The sequence below is a fragment of the Homo sapiens genome, chromosome 5, assembly GCF_000001405.40.
Source record: "Homo sapiens chromosome 5, GRCh38.p14 Primary Assembly".
In the NCBI taxonomy this organism is placed as follows: Eukaryota; Metazoa; Chordata; class Mammalia; order Primates; family Hominidae; genus Homo; species Homo sapiens.
The window spans coordinates 68351425-68375516 of NC_000005.10; positions in this window are offsets into that span (position 1 = coordinate 68351425).

Consider the following 24092-nt stretch of genomic DNA (forward strand, 5'->3'; position numbering starts at 1 on the left):
AAACAGATGGTCCTGGGATACAATAGCTTGTGCACCCTTTCTGCAGGCCCCCTGTTTTATTTGCTTTCTCTCCTTTTCTACCTCCTTCTCCTTTCCCCTTATCCTGTGTCTTTGAATCACACTCCAGTCCCTAATAAAGTGTGAACACATCAGTTTTTGCCTCAGTCTCTGAGAACTCAGGCCAACACAGACAAGGAGGCTTTAACCTCACAAACTGTTGGTAACTCTCTTGTGACCATGGGAATGTGGAACATAGTGTAAGGATGAAGCAGGTATTGTGAAAGCCAAATAGACAGCCGAAGGACACTTGATCACATCACTGACCTGCTCAATCAAAGCAACCTAGGAGCCCTTCCTACCTCTGGTCTTCCAGCCAGGAAGAAGTCCATTATAGCTATTTTTCAGTGATTGGCCACTAAATACATTATAACTGATATCCTTCTCTAGGCTCACCTATGTTTGCACATTCTGGGAGACTCACCTCCTTCCCCCACCAATCCCCATCACAGCCTTATAATAAATTCTCTTTTTGATCTTAAGTTAACATAAGTTGGTTTCTGGTACCTGCCATCAATCTAATCCTAACCAATACGTATACCTTCTCTGCTTTTTGGTACTAATGAAACGCCTTTAGGGCCCTTTGTTGGAGTTCTTTCCTTTTCACCATTTAAAAAACCAAAATCAGTTAAAATGTATGGAGTGTATCTATAGCCATGTATAAAACACAGGTTATTCCTATTTTAACTTTAAAAACAAACACATACAATGTTCTTTAACAATTCTTGAAGTTCTCTCGAATAAAAACTAAACAACAATGCCCCCAAATAAGAATAGTTTAAGGATTAATCTCTAGCAAGCCAGCTTTCCCCCAGATGATAGATTTGTTAGTTAATCATTCTGAAGCCAGGATTAGAGCACAGTCAACAGTTTAATAAACCATTCATTTCCTACAGTATTGAGTAGTTTCGTGGGCTTTTTGTCTTATGCCATAAACAAGACTATAAATTGTATTAGTAATTGTTTTTGAAAAGGATGTCAAGACTTCCGTTCTAAGATGCTGATTTGAGCCTTCATATTTAACTGTTCCCTTTCTTCCCAAGTTCCTATGGAAAAGGCCAAAAACATATTTTAGAATATAGTTAAAAAATTATTCTGAAAAACAGTGAAGAGTGCTATCAATAGGCCAGTAACTGGAAGGAGTTTGGCAAAACAGCATACATAGGAGCAGACAGATGGAAGAACCGACTATCCCAAGATTTAGCTAGAATAGTGCAAGGAAAATCCTACCCGAACTTGAGCAGGAGTGTCTAGCAGAATCTTGAGATCTCTTAGAACAAGGGGAAAGGCTGGAGGTAATGGGATATCTGGGGCTGCAATGCAGGATGTTCCCTGAAGCAGTCTTCCCTTGGAAGCCACTCTGTTCCTCAGAGGAGATTGAGGCCCAGGTAACTTCAAGTCACCACAGTAAATGCAGGAAAAATTAAAACGTAAAAATAAAACAGGAAAAAGAAGAAACGAACAAGGGCCTGCAGAGAACCTGGCCTTCTCCAATTGCATTCACTTCCTGTGGTCATTGTTGGAAACAAGAAAACACTTTCTAATCATTTGCCAGGGTTTGCTGAGCAATTTTCTTCAATCAGGAAGCAGTTTGAGCTTTGCTGATTATATGAAAAAGGTGAAACCATACTAGACCTGCAGCTCTCAGGAACAGAGAGGGCCCTTTTGCCATCCAAAGGTTAAAGTAATAGGATCCCAGGAATTGATTGAAGTTTATTGATTTTCAATTGATGAAACATTGACAACTGCATTGGGTGGTGAAATTACACCTTTTAGCTCAGAGAATATTGTTTCTCATCCCAGATTCATTGTCGAGGTTGACAAGTAAATGGGTTTCTGGTAAACATTTATTCTGTTTTTCAATCTGGACACTAAATTGGTATGTAGCAATAATGTGAGGGTAATTATAGGAGTCTGAAGGATCTGAAGTCTTGAAAAAGTCTAAATGTTTTAGAAATCAGGCTGTTTCTTTTACTTTTGAATTGGCCTTAGACTGTTCAAGAGGATAATGCATACCAAAGGACTGGATTCAACTCAATTCAAAAAGTATGCATGTGGGTTTTCTGTGAGACAGGGTACCGTGCTTAAGTTCACTCTGGTAAAGTCATCTTTCTCATTATCTCCCTTATCCTCCTGTTTAAATACCTTTTCATTAATTCTACAAAATCCACCAGAGAGTTCGCTGCTCCCAGGGGGCCAGCCTTTCTCACTTCAGTTGAAAACAGCTCTTCACAACAGATGATTAAGTTTTATTCCCCCATGCTGTTGGAGTGGGGGTGAGGAGATAAGGAACTATTCTTCTGAACTGATTTCTTAGCATCCTACACTGTCTTCCTCCTTCATATTCATGAGTCACCCCATCCCGTCTCTCCTCAAGAATGTTCTGTAGCGAAAGTCTAATTAGAATGTACCATACAAAGAAGAGCGAGCCTTCGACCTCTGAGGCTCAGTGTCCTTATCTGTAGAATGGGGTTAATAATTCATCCCTAATGGGGTTATGTGAAAAACTAATAAGATAATGAATATCAAAACATGTTTTAAAGCTAGCGTACTGTAGAGGATTCAGAGACAAAATGAAATCACAAGAGACCTCAGACTGGGAATCTGGCAGCCCCATCTACGGTGTGACCCTAGGCAGATTACTTAACTGCTATCTTTGTCAGCCACCCTATCTGTAAGTGGGGATATAAGAGTGCCCATCCATTTCATACAATTTCTGTGAAAATTAATGAGTTACTGTGTGTTAAGTTCTTACTATAAGTTAGTATAAAATAAAAGACATTGTTATCATTTCAGCATAATTTTGTCATACACAAGAGGTTTTCTATGTCCTCTACAAAGTGATAATGTTTAATGTCAGCAATGGCCTATTTGGAGGGGGTTAGTATGTGGGAGGAAATGCAGGTCAGATACAGAATCCAGTCTCTGTATTCAGAACAGCTTTCCAGTGCCATCAGCTGCTGTTGCGCATTTGAGCCCCGCCACCTTCACATCCCTCTGCTGTGGTCACCAGCCACGTCACCTCCCCCAGCTTTCTGAGAAGGCTCCTCGGGCTCTTGCCAGGCTCTGCCACCAGGGTCATCCTACCTCCTTCCTCTCATCCAGAGCTTCTGGCTCTCTGTGCTACTGACTGTCCTTCACTTTGCAAATGAAGCCCAGCTCCTTGAATTCTCACCCCAGGGAATCGTGACAACTAACACCTCACTTGCCAACATATTGTCCAGAGTGTGTTCTGCACTGGGGAAAATAACAACAGATTGGGTTTCTTCCTCTTTTGGAACTGTGCTGGGGCATCACCCCAGCATGGGGGGTGTAATCCCTGCACACCCAGATTCTCCGATAGTGACAGCAGAAAGAGCTGTGTGGTGGCGAATGACACAGGCATTAGAGGCCAAAATACCCGGCGACTTCACCTTGCAGGGCCTTGGCTTCTTCCTATGAAAATGAGCATGATGATAGACAGGATGATGCAGTTATTCTCTTTAAAGAGAAACTGCGGTGATGTAGGTTGGCACAACACCTGGCTCAGGGCAAGCATTTATAAGCGGCAGCCTTGACTTATAGCAAGGTGGGTTCCTGTGACTTTCAGAGGCAGGGGCCACTCACCCAGTGCACGTACCCTAGAGATTCCTGTTTCCCTCTCAATGAACCTCCTAGAGAAACAAAGGTGGGACTGGGGATTGACAGGCACCCTCAGAAAGGGTGACCCACACTTCAATTTACCTACCCTTTCTACAATTTTTCACCAAGTCAGGGCTCAATCAGAAGACATACCTGGCCTGTAGCTTAGGAGGAAACATAGCCCTGCCCTGCCCCAAGCTCCTACAGACCACTTGGCTTTCCAAGGCCAAATAACTGCGGAAAAGAGATAATGATGTCCTCAAGCCTTTCGAGCAAGATTTTCCAGCTGAATCCGTTGTACATAAAGACTTGCCTGAAAGTGAGAAAGGCTAATTTGACTGTCTGGGAGAGTAGAAATAGCACCTCTGGCAGTTTGGGGTCTGTGGCTTTTGCTTAACTATTTTTTTAAAGGATGTTTTAAAACTCAGATAATATCCTTCAGCATTTATTTCTACTTACAGTAGTCCCCCGCTTATCCCAAGACCCCCAGTGAGCAGACGCCTGAAACCATAGATAGCACTGAACCAAATATATATCATGTTTTTTCCTACATATTTATACCTGTGATAAAGTTTAATTTATAAATTAGGCACAGTAAGAGATTAACAACAATAATTAATAATAAAATAGAATAATTCTTAAAATATACTGTAATAAAAGTTATGTGAATGTAGTTTTCTTTTCCCGGTCAAAATATCTTATTGTACTCTACTATGGGTAACTGAAATCAAGGAGAGTGAAACCATGCATGAGGGGCTGGGGAGAGCTACTGTAATCGTCAAGTGTAAGCTCCACAGTCAAGTGGCTGCTTAAGGAATCTGTATAACTGGATTCTAGAACATTGTGGATCCCGTAGGGTCAGAATGCAAAAACTAGTTTGGTCCTTACTTTCTTGATTCCTTGAGGACTTTACAACCATAACCCCAGTTAGGGCCTGCTTCAGGTCAAGTGACCTATGCAGTCACATAGGATCCAGTACTTAGTATGTCCCCTTGCTTGGTTTAATGTTCTATTGTCACTTGCTTGACATTCTGAATAATTTTTTTTTTTTTTTGAGACTGAGTCTCACTCTGTCGCCCAGGCTGGAGTGCAGCGATGCCATCTCAGCTCACTGCAGCCTCCACCTCCCAGGTTCAAGTGATTCGCCTGCCTCAGCCTCCCGAATATCTGGGATTACAGGCACATGCCACCATGCCAGACTAATTTTTGTATTTTTAGCAGATATAGGGTTTCACCATATTGGCCAGGCTGTTCTGGAACTCCTGACCTCAAGTGATCCACCCGCCTCAGCCTCCCGGAGTGCTAGGATTACAAGTGTGAGCCACCACGCCCGGCCTTGAATAATTTTTGAACAAGGAACCCTGTGTTTTCATTTTTCACTAGGCCCTGCAAATTATGTAGCAGGTCCTGGCCCCAGTATCTGGCCTGGTGTCTATTGTATAGTAGATGTTTGTTATTGGAAGAACATTAATTATTAATGTATAATATACTCTCTAACTCTTCATTAGTGGTACATTCAAGCCATGGTCCATAAAGCATTTCTAATCCTCCTATGTGAGACAACCTGCACCAAAGGCAACATTAAGCCTAAAAATTACTTTACACTTAGAAACCCAAATTGATCCATTAAATAACTACAATCATCAGATTTCCCCCCAAATAGGAGCAATTTACAAATCTTCCTTTTGCCTGATAGTGACAGCTTCTGCTATCGAACATCTCAGGGGAATAACAGGTCAGAAGTGTTGAGTACAGAAAGCTGTGAAGGCAATTGGCTAAGGTACTGAGGCAATGCTATTAAATCCTGAGAAACAGATATTTAGATCTCATTCAAATGAGGTTCTCAGGGGAAAGATCCCTTTATATAACAATTGATTTTTTCTAAACTGAATTATCAGTTGCAGGATATTTACTCCGGTTTGTTATTTGGGGACTTGGGGACGCGTTTGAACTACACTTAAGGAGAGAGAGCTGAAAAAGCAGGGCAGCAGGCAGAATGGTAATCAGAGGTTGATGATAAAGTCATTAAAAGAAATAAAGCAGAATCCAGCTAAAAAACAACAGAAAAACCTGAGAAGTAAATGAGATTGGAGAAGATGTAATGAATTGAACCTCATCTTCCATTCAAAAGGATTCAATTAGCAAGGACACGACCAGTGTATGTTAAATAAAATATTCTTGTTTGAAAACAAGATGGTGATGGTGGAAGGTGACTGTAATATTCTACAACAAAGGATAAAAGTAAAAGATGTTACATTCCTTCTAAGTGTGTTTTCTTGCATCTACCTACGGACCATTATCATTGACATTTTCCAGTCTTCTCTCTCTCACATCCAGGCAGCAACTGGAAGGTTTCAGAGAAAAGGAAGACAAAGGCTAACCAGCAACAGCAACTGTAGGGACTGCAGCATAAATACGACAAGGAAGAGAGGAGCCAAATAGGAAAGGAAATGAGGGTCTAGATTGTAATAACTAATTCAAGAATTATTTTGGATTAAAGTGTGTCCTGTGCTCATGACACTTGTGTGAAGGACTGCAGGCAGGGGAATATTTGATTGTGCTACACCGGAAACATAAAGTCAGTAACTCCTGAAGGAGTCTTTTTCAGAATGGATTTAACTTGGAGGCTTGTTCCCTCCAGCCAAAAGCCAAAGCACAGGATATAATTCCTCTCAGCTAGAGCACGTGCACAACTAAAAGAAAAAAATAACAGAGTTATTATCTACAGCAAAATACTACATTTTGTGGAGCTTGAATGATTGCAGATGGAAAGACTGCAATTGGTGTTACAGTCTTAGAACAAGGAAACTCTGTGTGACCATTAAGAATAAAAATAGGATAGGAAAGAAGAAAGTCAGACAATGAGAAGGGTAAAACAAAAGAAAGCAGGCCGGATGAGGGCCGAGACAGCTGTTGAAGCCAAGCTTGCTTGGAGTTTTCACCAATTCAGTGGGTGAAGGAAGAGTTTTAAGGTTTAAAGTCAAAACCACATTATTTTATTGGAGTTTGTTGGTGATACTCAGGTTAACAGTTGAACACACTGCATGTGGTTCTCATTTCTGCATAGAAAATAACATAAAGCTTAATATTAGACATTCGTGTCCTAAAGTTCCTTTGGCCCCTCTCACCATAGGGAAATTCGCACTGGCCGGCTTTGTCCCTGGACCTCACCTGCTCCCCTACCTGCCCAAACGCACTCCACTCTTCTTGTGCTCATACCTCCTCCTACTCCTACTAGGGAGCTGCCAAGGCCCACCCCAAAATCCATTTGCTTTTTAAAGCAGTGGGATAGAACTCCTCTTTGTCCAAATGTCTTCTATCTAGCTTATGCCCAGGAGCAAGACCACAACTTTCAAAGTGAAACAAGCCCTTTAGGGTGTTTTGCTAAACAAACAGTGAAGCCTCACCCTAAAACTGTTGCCCTGGCCTAACAGTTCAAATACCAGGTGGCTCTTTAAAATGATATTTTTCTACTTTACGAATTGTTGTATCCCTGAATATTCTTCTAAAATCATATTTTAAATGGTAGCATGTAATTCAGTCCCATGGATGTGACACTTTTACAATGCAGTGCCCTATTGTTGGAGGTTTAAAATTAATTATTATTGCCAATATTTTGCTATTATAAACAGGGCTAAGATATATTTATATTTATATATTTTAATACATATGTGATTTATTTTCTTCTAAATACACTGAAGTCAAATTATTATATAAAAATTACAAATTTAAGGCAAAATTCTGCAACTTTTTGTGTGTATTTTTAATGACAAGCAGAAAGCTTTGCAAATGTACAAAATGCCTTAGCTACTTTGGGTAGCGTAGTTCTTATTTTTTCAGTGATAAAGTTAAAAATATATAGTATTAGAATTATTAGAGACTGTCATAAAAATAAGTAAATTATCTGATACTTTAATGGTCATAAATAATATCATAATATCAACCGCTGAAAGGTGAAGAAAGAAACATTAAAACTCAACAAAAGAAATTTCCATAGGCTTTCATCAGTGAATCATTCCAAATTCATACCTTGCTCTTGATGTCTGTGACTGAGTATTCAGCCTCAGGGTAACTGTGATTTGATACATTTTTTTTTTAATATACTTTAAGTTCTGGGGTACATGTGCAGAACGTGCAGGTTTGTTACATAGGTATACACGTGCCATGGTGGTTTGCTGTACCCATCAACCCATCATCTACATTAGATATTTCTCCTAATGCTATCCCTCCCCTAGGCCCCCACCCCCTGACAGGCCCTGGTGTGTGATGTTCCCCTCCCTGTGTCCACGTGTTCTCATTGTGATTTGACACATTTTATAGGTCCAGGTAGAAGGGTCCAAAAACAAAGAAACAAAGGTACTGAAAGGGTTTTTATATCAAAAAAGCTCCAGTTGAGCTGATGGTCTCATTCATTTGCACCAACGCAAGAGGATTATTTTGAAGAACTATGAGTTAACATTGACAACATGTAATGACACATATGTTTAAAAGGCATACCCACTACTCCCCTGCACCCACGTTTTATTCTAGTCAGGCTGGTCAGGTCATGTTTACCAAATGTTTTAAGTTTTTTCAATTTCACAAAAAAATGTATTAATACTTTCCTTTAAAGATATTAAATGTTACAGATAGGAGACTTTCACTTCCAGCTATGATAAAATAACAAGTATCGATTAACTCTACCTTGAAAATATATAAACCTAGATAAAATTTAAAACCACAAAGGGAAGCTGTTTGAAGGAATCAGGAAGCAACCAAGGCAGCTAGAACTTCGAAGACCAAAGTCCTGGATAAAAAGGAAATGCACTGACATGAATCAATGAGCTTCATTCACTGAAGCTTTATTTCCCTCCAGATACTTGCTGAAGAGCAAGTACTATAACCCAAAGATTGCTACAGTCTTCACTTGCTGGAGAGGTAAAAATTTGGAATTCAGAGCTACCAACAGCATATGTGCCAAGATCCCAGAGAAAAGGCACACAGAACTGAGCCCAATATTTTCACTTGGTGTCCTTTTGAAACATTTACTGATTATGAAGATGTACTAGGTACATCTTCAGGGCAAGAGCAGAGAAACCAAAGAGAAAGCAGCCTCTAAGAGACTAAAAAGCTAAGCAGAAGTTTTGAAAGTATCACAGTAGAGGAGAGAGGAAAACTTGTTCAGAGCTTGCTGAGGAGAAATGGTCCCAGTAAAAACCACACATTTTCCATTATAGTCGTTAAAGAGCTTTGCCCAAGAGGAACACAAACTAAGTTAGCCAGGCTTCACTAAGCCTGAGAGGGGGCCTTGACTGGATCAGCGTGATCTTTCTGGGATATCTCTGGCTGCCCGAAGAGAAAGAAATTCTTTCTGGAGGAAGATAGCATCATCCAGACTCCCTGCAATTTATATATATATAATTTCCAGAATGTAGTAAAATAGACATACCAATGAAAAAATCATAAGATATGCAAAAAAGGAAGAAGACACTGAAAGAAAAATATACAGTAGACACAGACTCTCTGTTGATACAGCTCTTGAAGTTATCAGACACAGACATTAACATAACTATAATACAATCAAAAATATTGATGAAAAGAGAACTAGAATTTACAAAGAAAATCACTGCTGTGCATATTGTAATATGACTATAAGAGGTGGGGAGAAATAGAGACAGGGAAAAATAGACATACACACACCCACAGAGAGAGAGAGAGAGAGAGAGAGAGAGAGAGAGAGATTCTTCAAAGCAGCAGGAGGAAGAAAAGGAAATAGATGCATTATCTTCAGAGGAATGACAAAAAGACTCACAAAGTAAACCAGGATATAATGATATGATACTTTTAAAGGAGTAAAAGGGAACAACTGCTGGTCTCAAACTCTATACCCAGCAAAAGTATTCTTCAAAAATTAAGATGATATAAAGACAGTTAAGATAAAAACTTATACTAGAGGATGAATCACTAGCATACCTACATTAAGAGATATACAAAAGGGAGTTCTACAGGCAGAAGAAAATGATTCCCAATGAAATAATTGTAATGAAGAATTCTTCATTACAATGAAGAGCACTCTAAAAGGTAAAAATGTAGGTTAAATCTGAATGAATTTTGACTGTTAAAAGCAAATATAATAATCGTGTCTTGTGTGATTTAAATTCTGTAGAATTAAAATACATGGCCAAAAATAGCACAAAGGCATAAAAAAGGAGTTTTGTGTGTTGAAAGGTCTTTACATTGTCCTGAGAGCAGTAAAAGTACTAAGTTATATTACCTTAAAGTAATTCAAGAAATCATGTTGTAATCTCTAGGCTAATAACTAAAAAAAAGTTAAAAAAATGTGTAACAACAAAATAACAAAGGACAAAAATGAAATAATAAAAATGATCAATTCAAAGGGGACAATAATGTAGATTAATAACACGCTAGAACAAATAGAAAACAAAAAGATGGTCAATTTTGACAAAACTGTATTAATAATTATATGTCATTAAATGGCTAAATATTCTAATTAATTGACAAAGACTGTAGATAAAAATACAATTACATTTTGCTGATAAAAGACACACTTTATTTATATGGAAAGAGAAAGATTGAAAGGAAATGAAGGAGTAAAGCTAAACCAGTTAATACCAAATAAACTGGTAGCTATAATTATATCAGATACAGTAGATATTAAAGGAAAAAAATGAGATAAAGATATATATTTACGCATCTAATCACATGTCACATGTTATTATATATTCACATATAATACATGCGAAAATGATAGAAATAAAAATAGAAACAAATTCTAAACTCTCAAAATAAAATATATAACTAGTAATTTAAAATATCAGTGAAGATGAAGATTTTAAAAATGAGATGATACATTTAACATAATTGACATATAAAGAATCTTGCACCTAATAATTGCAGAATAAGCACTCTCTTCAAGTAAATATATTCACTAAAACTGACTCCATCCTGGACCATAGTAAAGGTCTCAACAAATTTCAAAGAACTGAAGAAAATACAAATTATATTCTCTGATGTTAGGAGAAATTAAGCTAGAAATCAGTCATACAAACACGCAAATCACTAAAAGTAAAAAAATCTAATGTTTGGAAATTAAGCAATAAACTTCTACATATTGCATTGATCTAAATATGAAATCACAATGGAAATTAGAAAGTGTTTTTAATGAAATGATAATGGGATTATACTTCATATCAAAACTTCAGGGTTATAGCAAGTTTCAGCTAACTTTTGCTATATAACAAACCATCCCCAGCTTTAATGGCTTAAAGACAACCATTTTACTTATATCAAGATTCTGTGGGTCAGCTGGGTGGTTCTTCTGTTTGGGCTTGGCTGATCTCTGCCAGGCTCTCTTGCATCTGGGGTCAGTTGAAGAGTGGACTGGAAGCCAGAAAACCTAGGATGGTCTTACTCACGTATCTTGGAGTTGGCTAGCTTTCAGCCAGGGTGTCTCAGTGCTTCTCCATTGGGCTCCAGCAAGCTAGCTTGCTCTCCTTCACATGGTGTTTTCAAGTTTTCAAGCACAAACTGAGAAAACACACTCAAATGTTTAAAAGCTTTCCAAGGCTCTGTTTGCTTTGTATTTGCTAATATCACATGGCCAAACCTAGACTCAAGGGTAGACATCTCTAGATGAAGGAAACTGCAAAGTTCTACTACAATAAGGAATGCAGACAAATATAGGAAAAATCTGTAGCTATTTGCCAACTACTACACAGTTAATATTGTGCTCAGAGGGAAATTTATAACCTTAAATACATATATTAGAAAAGAAGAAAGATCTGATTGTTTATTTCAAGAAGCTAGAAACGAAATAGCAAATTAAATCCAAAGAAAATAGAAAAAAGGCAATAATAAAGAATAGAAATTATTGATATAGAAAATAAATAGACAATAGACAAATTCAAAAAGTCAAAAGTTTGTTCTTTAAAAGTACTGGTTAAATTGATCAACTGTTGTTTAGCAGGACTAAGAAAAATTAGAGAGAAAACACAAGTTTTCAATAAAACAGATGAAATAGGAAACATTACTACCAAACATGAGAGTATTTACGAACATGTTTATTTTCCAATACATCTGAAAGTTTTGACACAATGAAAAAATTCATTGAAAAATACAATGTATCAAAGCTGACAACAGAAGAAATAGAAAATTTTGTATTTATTAAAGCAATGGTATTTGTTGTTGTTGTTGTTGTTGTTTTGAGCCAGTCTTGCTCTGTTGTCCAGGCTGGAGTGCAGTGGCATGATCTTGGCTCACTGCAACCTCCGCCTCCTGAGTTCAAGTGATTCTCCTGCCTCAGCCACCCAAGTAGCTGGGATTACAGGTGTGCACCACCACACCTGATGAATTCTTCCAAATTCACATGGCTTCACCAGTGAATTCTTCCAAATAGGTAAGGAATAATACCAGCCTTACACAATCACTCCCAAAGAGTATAAAAAGAGGTAACATTTCCCAACTAGTTTTACAAGGCCACCAAACGCTCATGCCAAACATTCAGGAGGACACTGAATTTATGGCTAATCTCTCTTATGAACCCAAAATAAAAATCCTAAATAAAATATCAAAGGGATTAAATCCATAAGCCAATTGGGCTTGTTTCAGGAAGATAAGTTTAAAAACACTAGAAAATCAATCAATAAAATTAACCATGTTAATGGAAGAAAGGAGAAAAATTATGTGACTATAATCTTGCTATACACGAAAAAGAATTTAATAAAACTTAATCCTCAGTCGTGATTAAAAAATACTTTTGGTAAACTAAGAATAGAAGGAACTTCTTAAATTCATAAAGGGTATCTTTTTAAAAACCTACATAATAATGAATACAAAATTACAGCTACATAGAAAGAATGAGTTCTGGGGTTCTGCTGCACCATAGGGTGAATATGGTTAACTGTAATTTACTATATAGTCTCAAAAAACTAGAAGACAGAATTTTTTTCTTTTCTTTTTTTTTTTTTTTTTATGGCAGAGACAGTGTCTCCCTATGTTGCTCAGGCTGGTCTCAAACTTCTGGGCTCAAGTAATCTCCCACCTTAGCCTCCCAAAACGTTGGGATTACAGGCATGAGTCACCATGCCTGGCTTAAATTAACTTTTAGGTTCAATAAATCCCAATAAAAATCCCAGCAGACTTTTTTTTTTGTGGAAATTGACACGTAGATTCTAAAATTTAAATGGAAATGAAAGGACTAAAAAGAACAAAAGACAAACTTGAAAAATAGGAATTTGGAGGACTTCAGTTACCAAATATCAAGGTATTACAAAGCTACGGTTATTTAAAAAGTAAAAGCAACAGCATGGTATTGGTGCAAGCATAAAAAAATAGAGAAAGAAAAACAGTTTTATACATATATGAAAACCATTTTTACAATAAAGATGCCACAGCACTGAAATGAGAGACGAAGGGAACTTTTTTCAATAAATGATGCTGATCAATTGCATATTCACACAGAAAGAGATGACCCCTGAACTGTACCACACATCATACACAAAAACCAATTCCAGAGAGATTATAAATCTAAATGTGAAAGGTAAAAAAAAAAAAAAAAACAAAACCCTGAAGCTTCTAGAAGGTAACAAAGGAGAATATCTTCACAACCTTGACAGCAGAAAACCGGACCACCAACCCTATTTAAATATCTGGCTCAGATGTATATATCTGATCTACTTTACAGTCTTCTCCATTTATTCCAGCCTATTCCGATTATGCTCCTCTCTTCTATCTATTTTCTCTTGAAGTTACCATCACACAGTTTAGCACTCACATTGTAGATTACTCTCAATTTTTGTCATGTGTGGTGCTCTAGCAAGCTTTATCATGACTGATCATTATTTTCTACTTCTATTTTCAGTAGTGCCTGAGTTAGTGCTGGAGCTGGACAAATGATAGACCCTCAATTAGCAGTGGATAACTTCAGATGATCCCAAATCTCTCTGAATATCTGCTCTGTTCTTTGCCCTTTCAATGACATTGTGCTCCAATCTCAGCATTCATCCAAACATTTAATAAGTCGAACTAAATGATGCCTGAAAGCAAAGCACTATGCTGACATCATGCAGACTGCAAGGTTGTGTAGGTCTCATTTTACGCTATAAAAAAGTTTATAGCCTCTTAGAGGAGGTATATGAACAAGATAGTTATTTTATATTTCAAGGAAATATGGGGTGAATGCCGTGGAAATGGCCATAGTATGTAAATTCCAAGAGAAGAAGGGATTATATCTGCCTAGGCTGGTCTGTCTGGAAGGGCCTTTTGAATAAGTGGCATCTGAGATGGGTTCTGAAGATTATAATAGGGCATTCCAGGCAAAGCGAAAACCAAATGAAATTTTTTGAATTGGGGCATTATATTTCCTGAATAACTGTGCAAATAGATTTCTCCTGAAATAGTTAAATTGACTTTGAATAAACAGGAAGAGAGCTTGAGACCATGAGGCAGTTGCTACTGAAAGAACAGAATAGATAAAATGGTTGCCTCTGTGTGAATACTATGGCTTTTAAATGCTGGAGGATTAGGTTAGCACAAACGCTTATCTTTCACATATGTGAGATGTCTCTTTTCTGTTGGTCCCTTCCAGCTCAGGGGAAGAACCTGCGTTAGTGTTTTTTATGTCTGCTACAGACTTCATGAAATTGAATTAAGAAGTTGCATTGTATTTTTAAAAGAGTTGAAAGAAGAAGTCAGAGCAATAAGAAATCCAGATTAGCCTTAAGATTCATGTCAGAGATTAGTGGGAATTTAGGAAGAGATGGGAGGGCCTTGAGTTCCTTGGTGTTACTATAATATAGTGCCTGGGTTGCAAACTCACATGGAGCATGAGGATAAAAGAAGTGGGTGGGTGAGTGGACTAACTGTAAAAGTAGAAACAGCATTAATGTGATGAGAAATGGCAACTAACAGTTGGACTGTGAAAAGACAAATTCTCATGCCCTACCAAAACTTACTAAATCAGAAACTCTTGGCTGGGGTCCAGCAATCTCTAGATGGTTCCAGTCAACAGTAGCATCTGAGAACTACTGCAGTAAGGAATAGTGAAAGAGGCAAACTGGTGTGCTCATGGCCCATGCAAAGGGCTGGCAGACATTTCTTAGCTAAGTTGATTTTTATCTCGCAGGATATGGAAACTATGTTGTTGGACCTTCCAATATTGTAAGGAAAAGTCACACATCTGAATTTTTATGTTACATCTTCTAATTTTTAAGTATTGGCCATCTTTAAAAATATTCTGGGCTGGGCGTGGTGGCTCGCACCTGTAATCCCAGCACTTTGGGAGCCCGAGGTGGGTGGATCATGAGGTCAGGAGTTCCAAACCAGCCTACCCAACATAGTGAAACTCTGTCTCTACTAAAAATACAAAAGTTAGCCAGGCATGGTGGCGCACACCTGTAGTACCAGTTACTTGGGAGGCTGAGGCAGGAGAATCGCTTGAACCTGGGAGGCGGAGGCTGTGTTGAGCCCAGATCGTGCCACTGCACTCCAGCCTGGACAACAGAGCGAGACTCCGTCTCAAAAAAATAAAAAATAAAAAAAAATATTTTGGTGGCCAAATGTAACTGTGGCCAACATTTTACCAGGGGCTATTAATTTGCAATCTCTAATAATATAGTGATTAAAGGCATAAGATCTAGATTCAGTGAGTATAAGTTCAAATCCCATCTCTTCTTGCTATGTATATGACCTCAAAGCAAATTGTTTAACCTCTCCAAATCCTTGATTTCCTCCTGTGTAAATGAGCATAATAAGTACCTGCTTCATAGGGTCCTGGTGAAGGTGGAGTGGGGTGCTGCATACAAAGCACTTATTCAAGGGTCTGGCACATAGCAAGTGCTCAGTAAATGATACATTTACAATTGTCAGCTCAAGCACAGGATATGCTGGGTCTGCTGGGGAAAGGAAGGAATCTGAGCCAGGGGAGTAGGGAAATAGTTGGTTTCTCTAGGCAGAGCTGAGTGGTCCTACACACAGTGTCCAGAGCATGTGGCATGGCAGTTTCATGCAGAGACCAGGCTATGCTAGAAGTATGAAGGAGATTAGTTTAATGGATGTGGCCCAGTAGTAGAAGATTCACATAATCTTCAACATCATTATGGGCAATGCGCTCATATATGGCCAGAACCCATCCTGGGCCAGGAATAAGGAGTCTGCCAGTTCTTAAAATCCTGGGAGCCCCAATAAATAGGTGATTTTCAAAGCATGAATGTAAGAGCAGACAGGTAATCTGTGGCAGCAGCTCAGACCTGTCCATGGGTCAGTATGTCTGAGGGTATGAGGAAGGGGGAAATGAGAAAAAGATTACAAGTGGTGTGACCTGGAGGCTAAGTTGGCACCCAGGGCTTATGCGAGGCACAACAGATACCAAGTCTGTGGGCAGCCAAGATAAACTCCAGGCCCCACATCTGGAGGGGCTGAGGCAGCTGATATGCTTCCTACCCTAGTCTAGACTAGCTCAGCTCCCAGGCATGAATGAGCCTAAATGTGGAAGACATTGGAGAATTTTGCCGTGAGTAGCAAGAAAGATGAAGCTTGACAGATGCTGGTGCAGGCAACCAGGTATCACTTATTATTTAGGAGGCAAGATGTCATAATGCTATATTAAAAGTGTCAAATTTGGGTCATTGTATAGAACGCATCGAAAGAAGAGTCAGGGAAAAAACAAGACTGTTGCATTTATCTTGGCCAGAGATGACAGAATCTCAGCATTTGGACCACAGCTACTTTCTCCTATACCCATGACAGACACCTCTGATTGATTAAAATATTCTCTCCTGCTGATCCGAGACAAGGCATCAGAGTCTTTTCAAAACTCTATTCTGCCTAGACAGCCACTCTGACAGATAGAAACTGGCATGCAAAGCCCCTGGTCTAGGTGTCAGCTGCTACGGGGTGATGACAATTGGGAGAGGTGAAAAGGGAGAAAATTCTGTGGAAATAATCAGTAGAAGTCAGTGCCTAAATTTTCTGTGGGGACAAGATAGGGCAAGTTTGAAGAAAGTCAAGCTCAAAGATCATAGCAAGGCTTCATTCAAGTCTTAGGATGTAGGAGAATATGTGCCATTAAGAAAAGTACCCTTTCTGGAAAAGCAAAAACATAAACCACCACCCCTCAAGGAATTCAGAAAAATGAGCTGGTTGACGGAGAAAAGATGACTTGTTCACTTTCTGAGGTCCTGGCAACACGTGCAGGTAGAGGTGTCAGCCCAGCAGTTCGTGTTGGATATTCTTCAAACAGTAACTGCTTTTAAACTTGCTGTCTCAGTGTGTGGATGGGTGCTCTGGGAAGACACAAAGAATGTGTTGGATACTTTGTCCTTGAGAAGTTCAGAAGATAATAGCAGCACAGGGACACCCACACATGACTAATAAGGACATGTAAAACCCAAACAAATCAAACAGAAACCACAGGCACATACTTAGGGAAGGGATGAATAATTGGAGAAAGGAGGCAAGTCATGGAAGGTGAAGGTAGAACTCGAAGAAGCTCTGAGCACGAGCACACCACCGGAGCCAGAAAATGACCTGGACTATTCCATGTGCATATCTAGTTGTCCAAAAAGGGCATTCCCATCTTGAGAATGCAAAACCAGTCACTGATGTCATTATATGATGTTTACTTATTGTCAGCCATATTCTAGGCATTATGGCAGTGGTCAGAAACCCTTTGCTCTTAAGGATCTCACAGACCTGTGGGTGAGAGAGATGTACCAAGTCATTACACTATAACACAAGAAATGCTGAGATACGAGTATGCAGATGCAGAGAACAATATAGGTGCACATAGCAGGGTCTAACACAGCCTGAGGGGGCAGGGCTGGCACCCTAGAGAGGAGGAAGCTGGAGGTGTACTTTCAAAGCAAAATAGAAAGATTGATTCATTTATCCATCACTGTCCATTCACATGCCAAGTTTCCCAGGTCTCCTGGGCAGCACCAGCAGAACAGAGAAGTGTGTAGGTGTGGAGTACCACTCAGGGTGGGCACTCTAATGCGGCTCCCCAGGCTTGATCCTGGAAACAGGCCAGAGAATTTTGAATCACCTTTTATTTATTTAGTCATTCATTCTTTTTTTTTTTTTTTTTTTTTTTGAGAGAGAGAAGCATAACAGAGCATTTATATCTTAACTGTTGTATTTTTTGTATGTTGGCTGGCTTCCAGAATAACCTGACTAAATAGACTCACCAGCCTTTAGAGCAGGCCCTCCAAGGAATCCTTCTCCTGTGCTGATGTTCCTAAAAGTCTTCTCTACCAGGAAAATGAAAGGAAAGCTGACCTCATAAAGTTGTTAAGACAAGGGTTTATTGCTGTTGTTTGTTTGTTTTATCACTGTTAAGGTCTCCTATCTTTAAAAAATCAATTTTTTGTAATTTTTTAAATGTCTGATTATGGTAAAAAAGACACACACATAGCAAAAGGTACTGTCTTCCCTATTTTTAAGTGTACAGTTCAGTACTGTTAAAGACAATCACATTGTTGAACATCCCATTTTTAGAACATCCCATTTTTAGAACTTTTTTATTTTTCAAAACTGAAACTACATATACGTTAAACAACTCCCCACTTTCCCCTCCCCCCAGTCCCTGTCAACCACCATTCTACTTTCTGTTTCTACGAATTGGACTATTCTAGGTACCTCGTATAAGTAGACTCATACAGTATTTGTCTTTTGGCGACTGGCTTCTTTCATTTAGCGTAATGTTTTCAAGGCTTATCCGTGTTGTAACATTTGTCAGAATTTCCTTCCTTTTTAAAGCTTGATAATATTCCATTGTATGCACATTCTGCATTTGGTTTATCCATTCATCTGTTGATGAATGAGTGCCTTTTGCCTCTTGTCTACTGTACATAATGCTGCTGTGAACATGGGAACATGGGAGTGCAGATGTCTTCTCAAGATCCTGCTTTTAATTCTTCTGGGTGTATAAAATGTGGGATCGCTGGATCACATACTTCTCTTTGAATTCTTTGAGGAGCCCCCACAATGTTTCCAAAGTGGCTACACCATTTTTCATTTAGGGCTCCCTTCTTTTTAAAGGAGGAGTTCATAACTTCTGATATCAGTCAGGGCTGAGCGGACTCTCTGAGCTTCTGAACCCCCTTTGCCTCCAGAGCTGGTCAAGGCTCATCTTTCCATTGGTCCTCAGTGGAGAAAGAGGCAGCTGTCCTCACATACGGACACCGTTAATGGACAAGGTAATAATCTTGCAGAGTAATTGCACCATAATGTGAGGTCCAAGCATAGAATGAACTCACCTACCCAGCAGCATTTCTCTTGCTTGATTGCCAGCTGATATCTGTTTCTGCCAGAGAAGTCTGTCCCTGTGTCTGGGAACCCTGCTCCATTTGAGAGCTTGCTTCAGCTATGTCATGCCCTTAGCACTGATGATATCATGACCCTTGATTTCCAGTAGGATCTCATTAAATTTCCTTTTTGCTGACCCTCCAAGGCTGACCCCTACCTATCTCTACTACTGCCACAGCATCTGTGATGACATTAATGTCCCTGGAGGGAGATTCCTCTTCGCCTTAGAAATGCCATTTTAGAAACCCTTGAGTTATGCCCTGGGAAGGAGGAAGGAGCTCTGCCATCAGGATGAATTAGGCCTTCTTTACCTGGGGGGAGGGGAGGCAAACGAATTAAAAGCTAGAGAAACATGAGATATCTTTCCCCAACAAATGCCAAAAGGCTGAGAATCTCATAATGTTAGACATCTTTTAGAATGGGATACTTTATAGGACAATTCAGGGTTTGGGGCCTTTCAAAAATGGCACATTTGCCCATGTAATCTGATCAATGCAAGAGGAAATAGCAGACCTGGAGGTTATGCTGAATTGCCAGAGAATTTTGTACCTGGGACGCTCAAAGACATCTCAGTCTGGCCCACCTTTCTGACAAGTCAGACCTGACAGTTTCCAAGACAGCTCATCCTTCAGTTGAGGCCTCGTAAAACCAGGTTAGAAACTGACCCACTCACACAATCTTTTAGAACCCACAGCAGCAAGTTTGAAATAGGCAAATTGTTATGCTTTTCCTGATCCTGGGGGCTCTGTATACACTGTATCTCACAAAGACTAAAAATCCCTAGCATGTGGCTTTCTGCTCAGGGAGGGTGTAGGTCCTAACATGAGTATGAGGTGGGGATGTGTATCCACCAGTCCTGCCTCAGTTTCAGTTCCCAAGTGCCTCTGACAGGGCGAGCATCTTCCTATAGCAAATGTGCTTTTCACATTTAAAGACATGTATTTTTTATTTAACCTGGTCCCTGAAATGCACTGAGGAAAGAGCCATTGGTTCCAGTACTGGAAGAAAAGCTGTTTGTGCAGGATTTTTCAGAAAGCATGTGTCAGTCTCCAGCATGGAGCCCTCTTAAGGGGATGTAAGCATAAATTTCATGTGACTTCTGCCTGCTGATTGGATTGGACTTTAGAACGGATGCTTCATGTTAGTTTCAACTGCTGAAATCAGCTGTGCGACTCTCATTGTTATTTGGTTGTCCTGAAGCTCAGTTTTCTAATCTATGTATGGAGAATTGCACCAGGTGATCTCAGATATTCCTTTAAAATTCTGTGAATCCACTTGAGTAGGAGATGGAGGAGCTATAGGCAATATCATTGCAAGAGCACTGCTGAAGAGCTTCTGCCCTTTCTTTCTTTTATCCCCTCCTTGCATATGCCTTCTAGATAAGCAAAAGGGAGAGTCCTCAATGAGAATACACACTAAATAGCTTTAAATATGGGGTCAAGGGGTCTTCCAGCATCTGCAGAGTCTCGTTGTTAGATGATTCATTGTTCCTTCTGTTAGAAAAAGTCTTCTTGACATTCATCCCGACTTGCCCCCCATCCCCTTCACCTCTTCATCTAAATCCTCTCCACAAAGACTCTGTGGAACTAACCTACTTGCTTAGTGTGCATCTTGGTGTGGTGTTTTGGTACACTGCATGTGTGTTTGTGCACATATTAGTACCTTCATATTGCATCCCTGCTTTGTTATGAAGTCGATATCAACACCCTGGTGTGTTCTACAACGCCAAAAAGACCAGTGTTGTGAGTGAGGCCAATGTAATTTGGTGAACTATGATTTATGCAAACTATTTACAGGTTAAATGGGAGAATGAAGGAAATGGTTAGCAAAGACAAATTGTCAGTGCACACATTCTTCCTTTTTTGATTGACTCATAATAAGCCATGCATTTATTGCAAAAGAATGTTCATTTTCTCCATAGTAGGAAAATTTCTTCTCAACTTTCTCTTTCTCTTTTTTCTTTCTCCTTGTTCCTCTTCCTATTTTCAGATCAGGCTTTGGCTCAAAGCTAGTCTCAGCCCCACTACCTAGTAGCCATGTAACCCTGGGCAAGTTTCTTAACCCTTCTACTCCTCCTTTTCTTTTGTTTGTTTGTTTGTTTGAGAGAGGCTGGAGTCACCCAGGCTGGAGTGTAGTGGTGACATCTCGGCTCACTGCAACCTCCACCTCCCGGATTCAAGCAATTCTTCTGCCTCAGTCTACCAAGTAGCTGGGATTACAGGCACCTGCCACCACACCTGGCTAATTTTTGTATTTTTAGTAGAGACAGGGTTTCCCCATGTTGCCCAGGCTGATCTTGAACTCCTGGCCTCAAGTGATCTGCCCACCTCAGCCTCTCAGAATGCTGGGATTACAGGTGTGAGCCACTGTGCCTAGACGACTCCTCCTTTTCTATCTACAGAGGCAGAATAATGGTACCTCCAAATATGTCACATTTGGAGACTAAATATGTGAGGCGACATGGCCAGGGGAAATTAAGAGTGCAGATGAAATTAAGGTTGCTAAGCCGCCGGCCTTGAGGTGCAGAATTATCCAAATTATTAATGTGGATCTGACTGTAACCAAACAATGTAGGTCCCGATGCTTGCCACTTGCAGAGTCCAATTAACAAGAGTGAAGTCCGGTAGGAAGAAAGTGAATTTATTAACCAAAACTAGTAAAGAAGAAGCAGCTGGATTCCTATCCAAAGTAACTGCTTTGATTTTGGGGGGAAGGCAAGGGTTTAAAATGGGAAAACTTGATAAGGAAGGCATTCAAGCATTGGGCTGAGTACAATGTCTGTGTGTCTTGTTCTGGTGGCTGTCTTGGGTCTCAGTCCACCTGGGACCTGGGACCTGAGACCTCAGGCTGACGTCATCACAACAATGGCCAGGTTGTTAATGAGCCACCTGGAAGTAATCTCTGGAACTTTGCAGCTGGGTCTCCAGACTTGGTCTCCCTGTTTCAAGATTAAGCCCCTGGAACTTCCAAGAAGACACACAATTAGATACTAGCATACAGTGCGATAAAAGTGAAGGGAATATATAAGGTGAGAAAAGCATGGAATCTATTTTAAGGCTAAGGAAAAAGGCTTCTGCCAGTTGCCTCAATATTATATCTTGAAACCCAAGTGAAAGGAAACAAAAAGTTTAAAATGCATTTTGAATTAAGCTGCCCAGTTATACAATGTAATCACCCCCGTTCTTGCAAGTGGAAGAGGGAAGCAGAAAAGGTCAGAGTGATGTGATGTGAGGAAAATTCGGCCAGCTTTTGCTTGCTTTGAAGATTTGAGAAAGGGGCCACAAGCCAAAGAATGTGAGTGGCGTTGGCCAGGCACGGTGGCTCATGTCTTTAATCCCAGCACTCTGGGAGGCCAAGGTGGGTGGATCATCTGAGGTCAGGAGTTCAAGACCAGCTTGGCCAACATGGCAAAACCCTGTCTCTACTAAAAATACAAAAATTACAAAAAAATACTAAAAATACAGTGTGGTGGTACATGCTTGTAGTCCCAGCTATTCAGGAGGCTGAGGCATGAGAATCACTGGAACCTGGGAGGCAGAGGTTGCAGTGAGCCAAGATTGTGCCACTGCATTCTAGCCTGGGTGACAGAATGAGAATCAGTCTCAAAAAAAAAAAAAAAAAAAAAAAGAAAAGAAAGAAAAAAGAAAAAAAAGAATGTGAGTGGCCTTTACAAGCTGGAAAAGGTGAGAAAATTCTTCCCTGTACCCTCCAGAAAGGAATGCAGCCCTTCTGATGCTATGATTTTAGTCCATTGTAGCCAGTGTCAGACTTCCACAGAATCATAAGATAATAAATTTGGTTTGTTTTAAGCCATTAAGTTTGTAGTAATTTGTTACAGCAGCAATATAAAACTAATACAGTATCTATAAAATCCAGTCAATAATAGTAACGTAGAATGATCACTAAGACAATGCAAGTAACATACATTACTTAATACTTATCAAATACTCAGTATATAGATGCTATTATTTTCAGTCCTCCTCCCAACTTTCCATACCTTCTTCCTTCAAAGTCAAGAATGATGGTACATTGGTGGCCCCACTGCAAATCCTTCTATGAATGAGCCTGCCAGCAGTAACTCTCCCAGAGCCAGTTGACAGCAGGAGAAATAACAATCCTTTCAAATCCATTTGGCCAGGGCTGAATGTCTGGCAGTTTTCTAAAGGGATTTTCATTTTTAAATTAAAGTGATAGATCTACCTGTCTGTATCTTTATGACTGTGGAAGCAAGCTTCTGGCCAAAGAACCAACTTTGCTTTTTCTATGTATTCATTTCTATTTTAATTTGTATATTACAGAACAAGCCATGGGTATCTCAGCTTTAAAGCAATGCCTTGTCTTTAAAACTACATGGGGAGAACAACAGCTCATATCATGGACAAGTTTAATGAAAAGAGATGGAATTTCCAGGAGGGTAGAAAATAGATCCAACAGTTTCTGGGAAACTTCTCTCTTGGCTCTGAGCCTAACCACCAGGCTCAATACCCACTCCCCCTCTTTTTGCAGTTACCCCAATATTACAAGAAATTGCCCAATTCTAAGGACTTTCAAAACTTTAATGCCCAGTCTAGTTCCATGTGCCTTAGGTTTAAAAAAACAAAAGGACAAATCCTTAGAAGAATAACTTGTCTCCCATGAGTAATACAAAAAAAATTGATGTAACATTTATGGTTAAGACTATGTGCATAAAAGTCAGAAAAGCTTTATTTATGTCCTGCACAGCTGTTGTAAGGTACTTGTCTCTCTCTGGTTATTTGGAGATTATCATATAGGCAGTTAACCTTAATGCTATGCTAGCACTCACTTGGGTGCCTCTAATGCCAATTATACCTCACCATTTGCATTTGTTGTCTCTGGCACAGATGATAAAAAGAGAAAGAGAAGTATTGTTGATTGTACATTCAAATTAACACAGCATTCACAGGGACTTGGGTGTGGTGGCAGATGCAAATCAAAAAGTCTGGTTCTTGATGGGTTGGGGATAGAAGTGGAGAGCTGCAGGCTAATCTACGTGGGGGATTTCTTTTTTCTTTTTGGATGGGTCAAATGTTTCAATTCCTTTCATGCTACTGATACATGCAGGTGCATGTTCATGCAAGAGCAGCATTTCA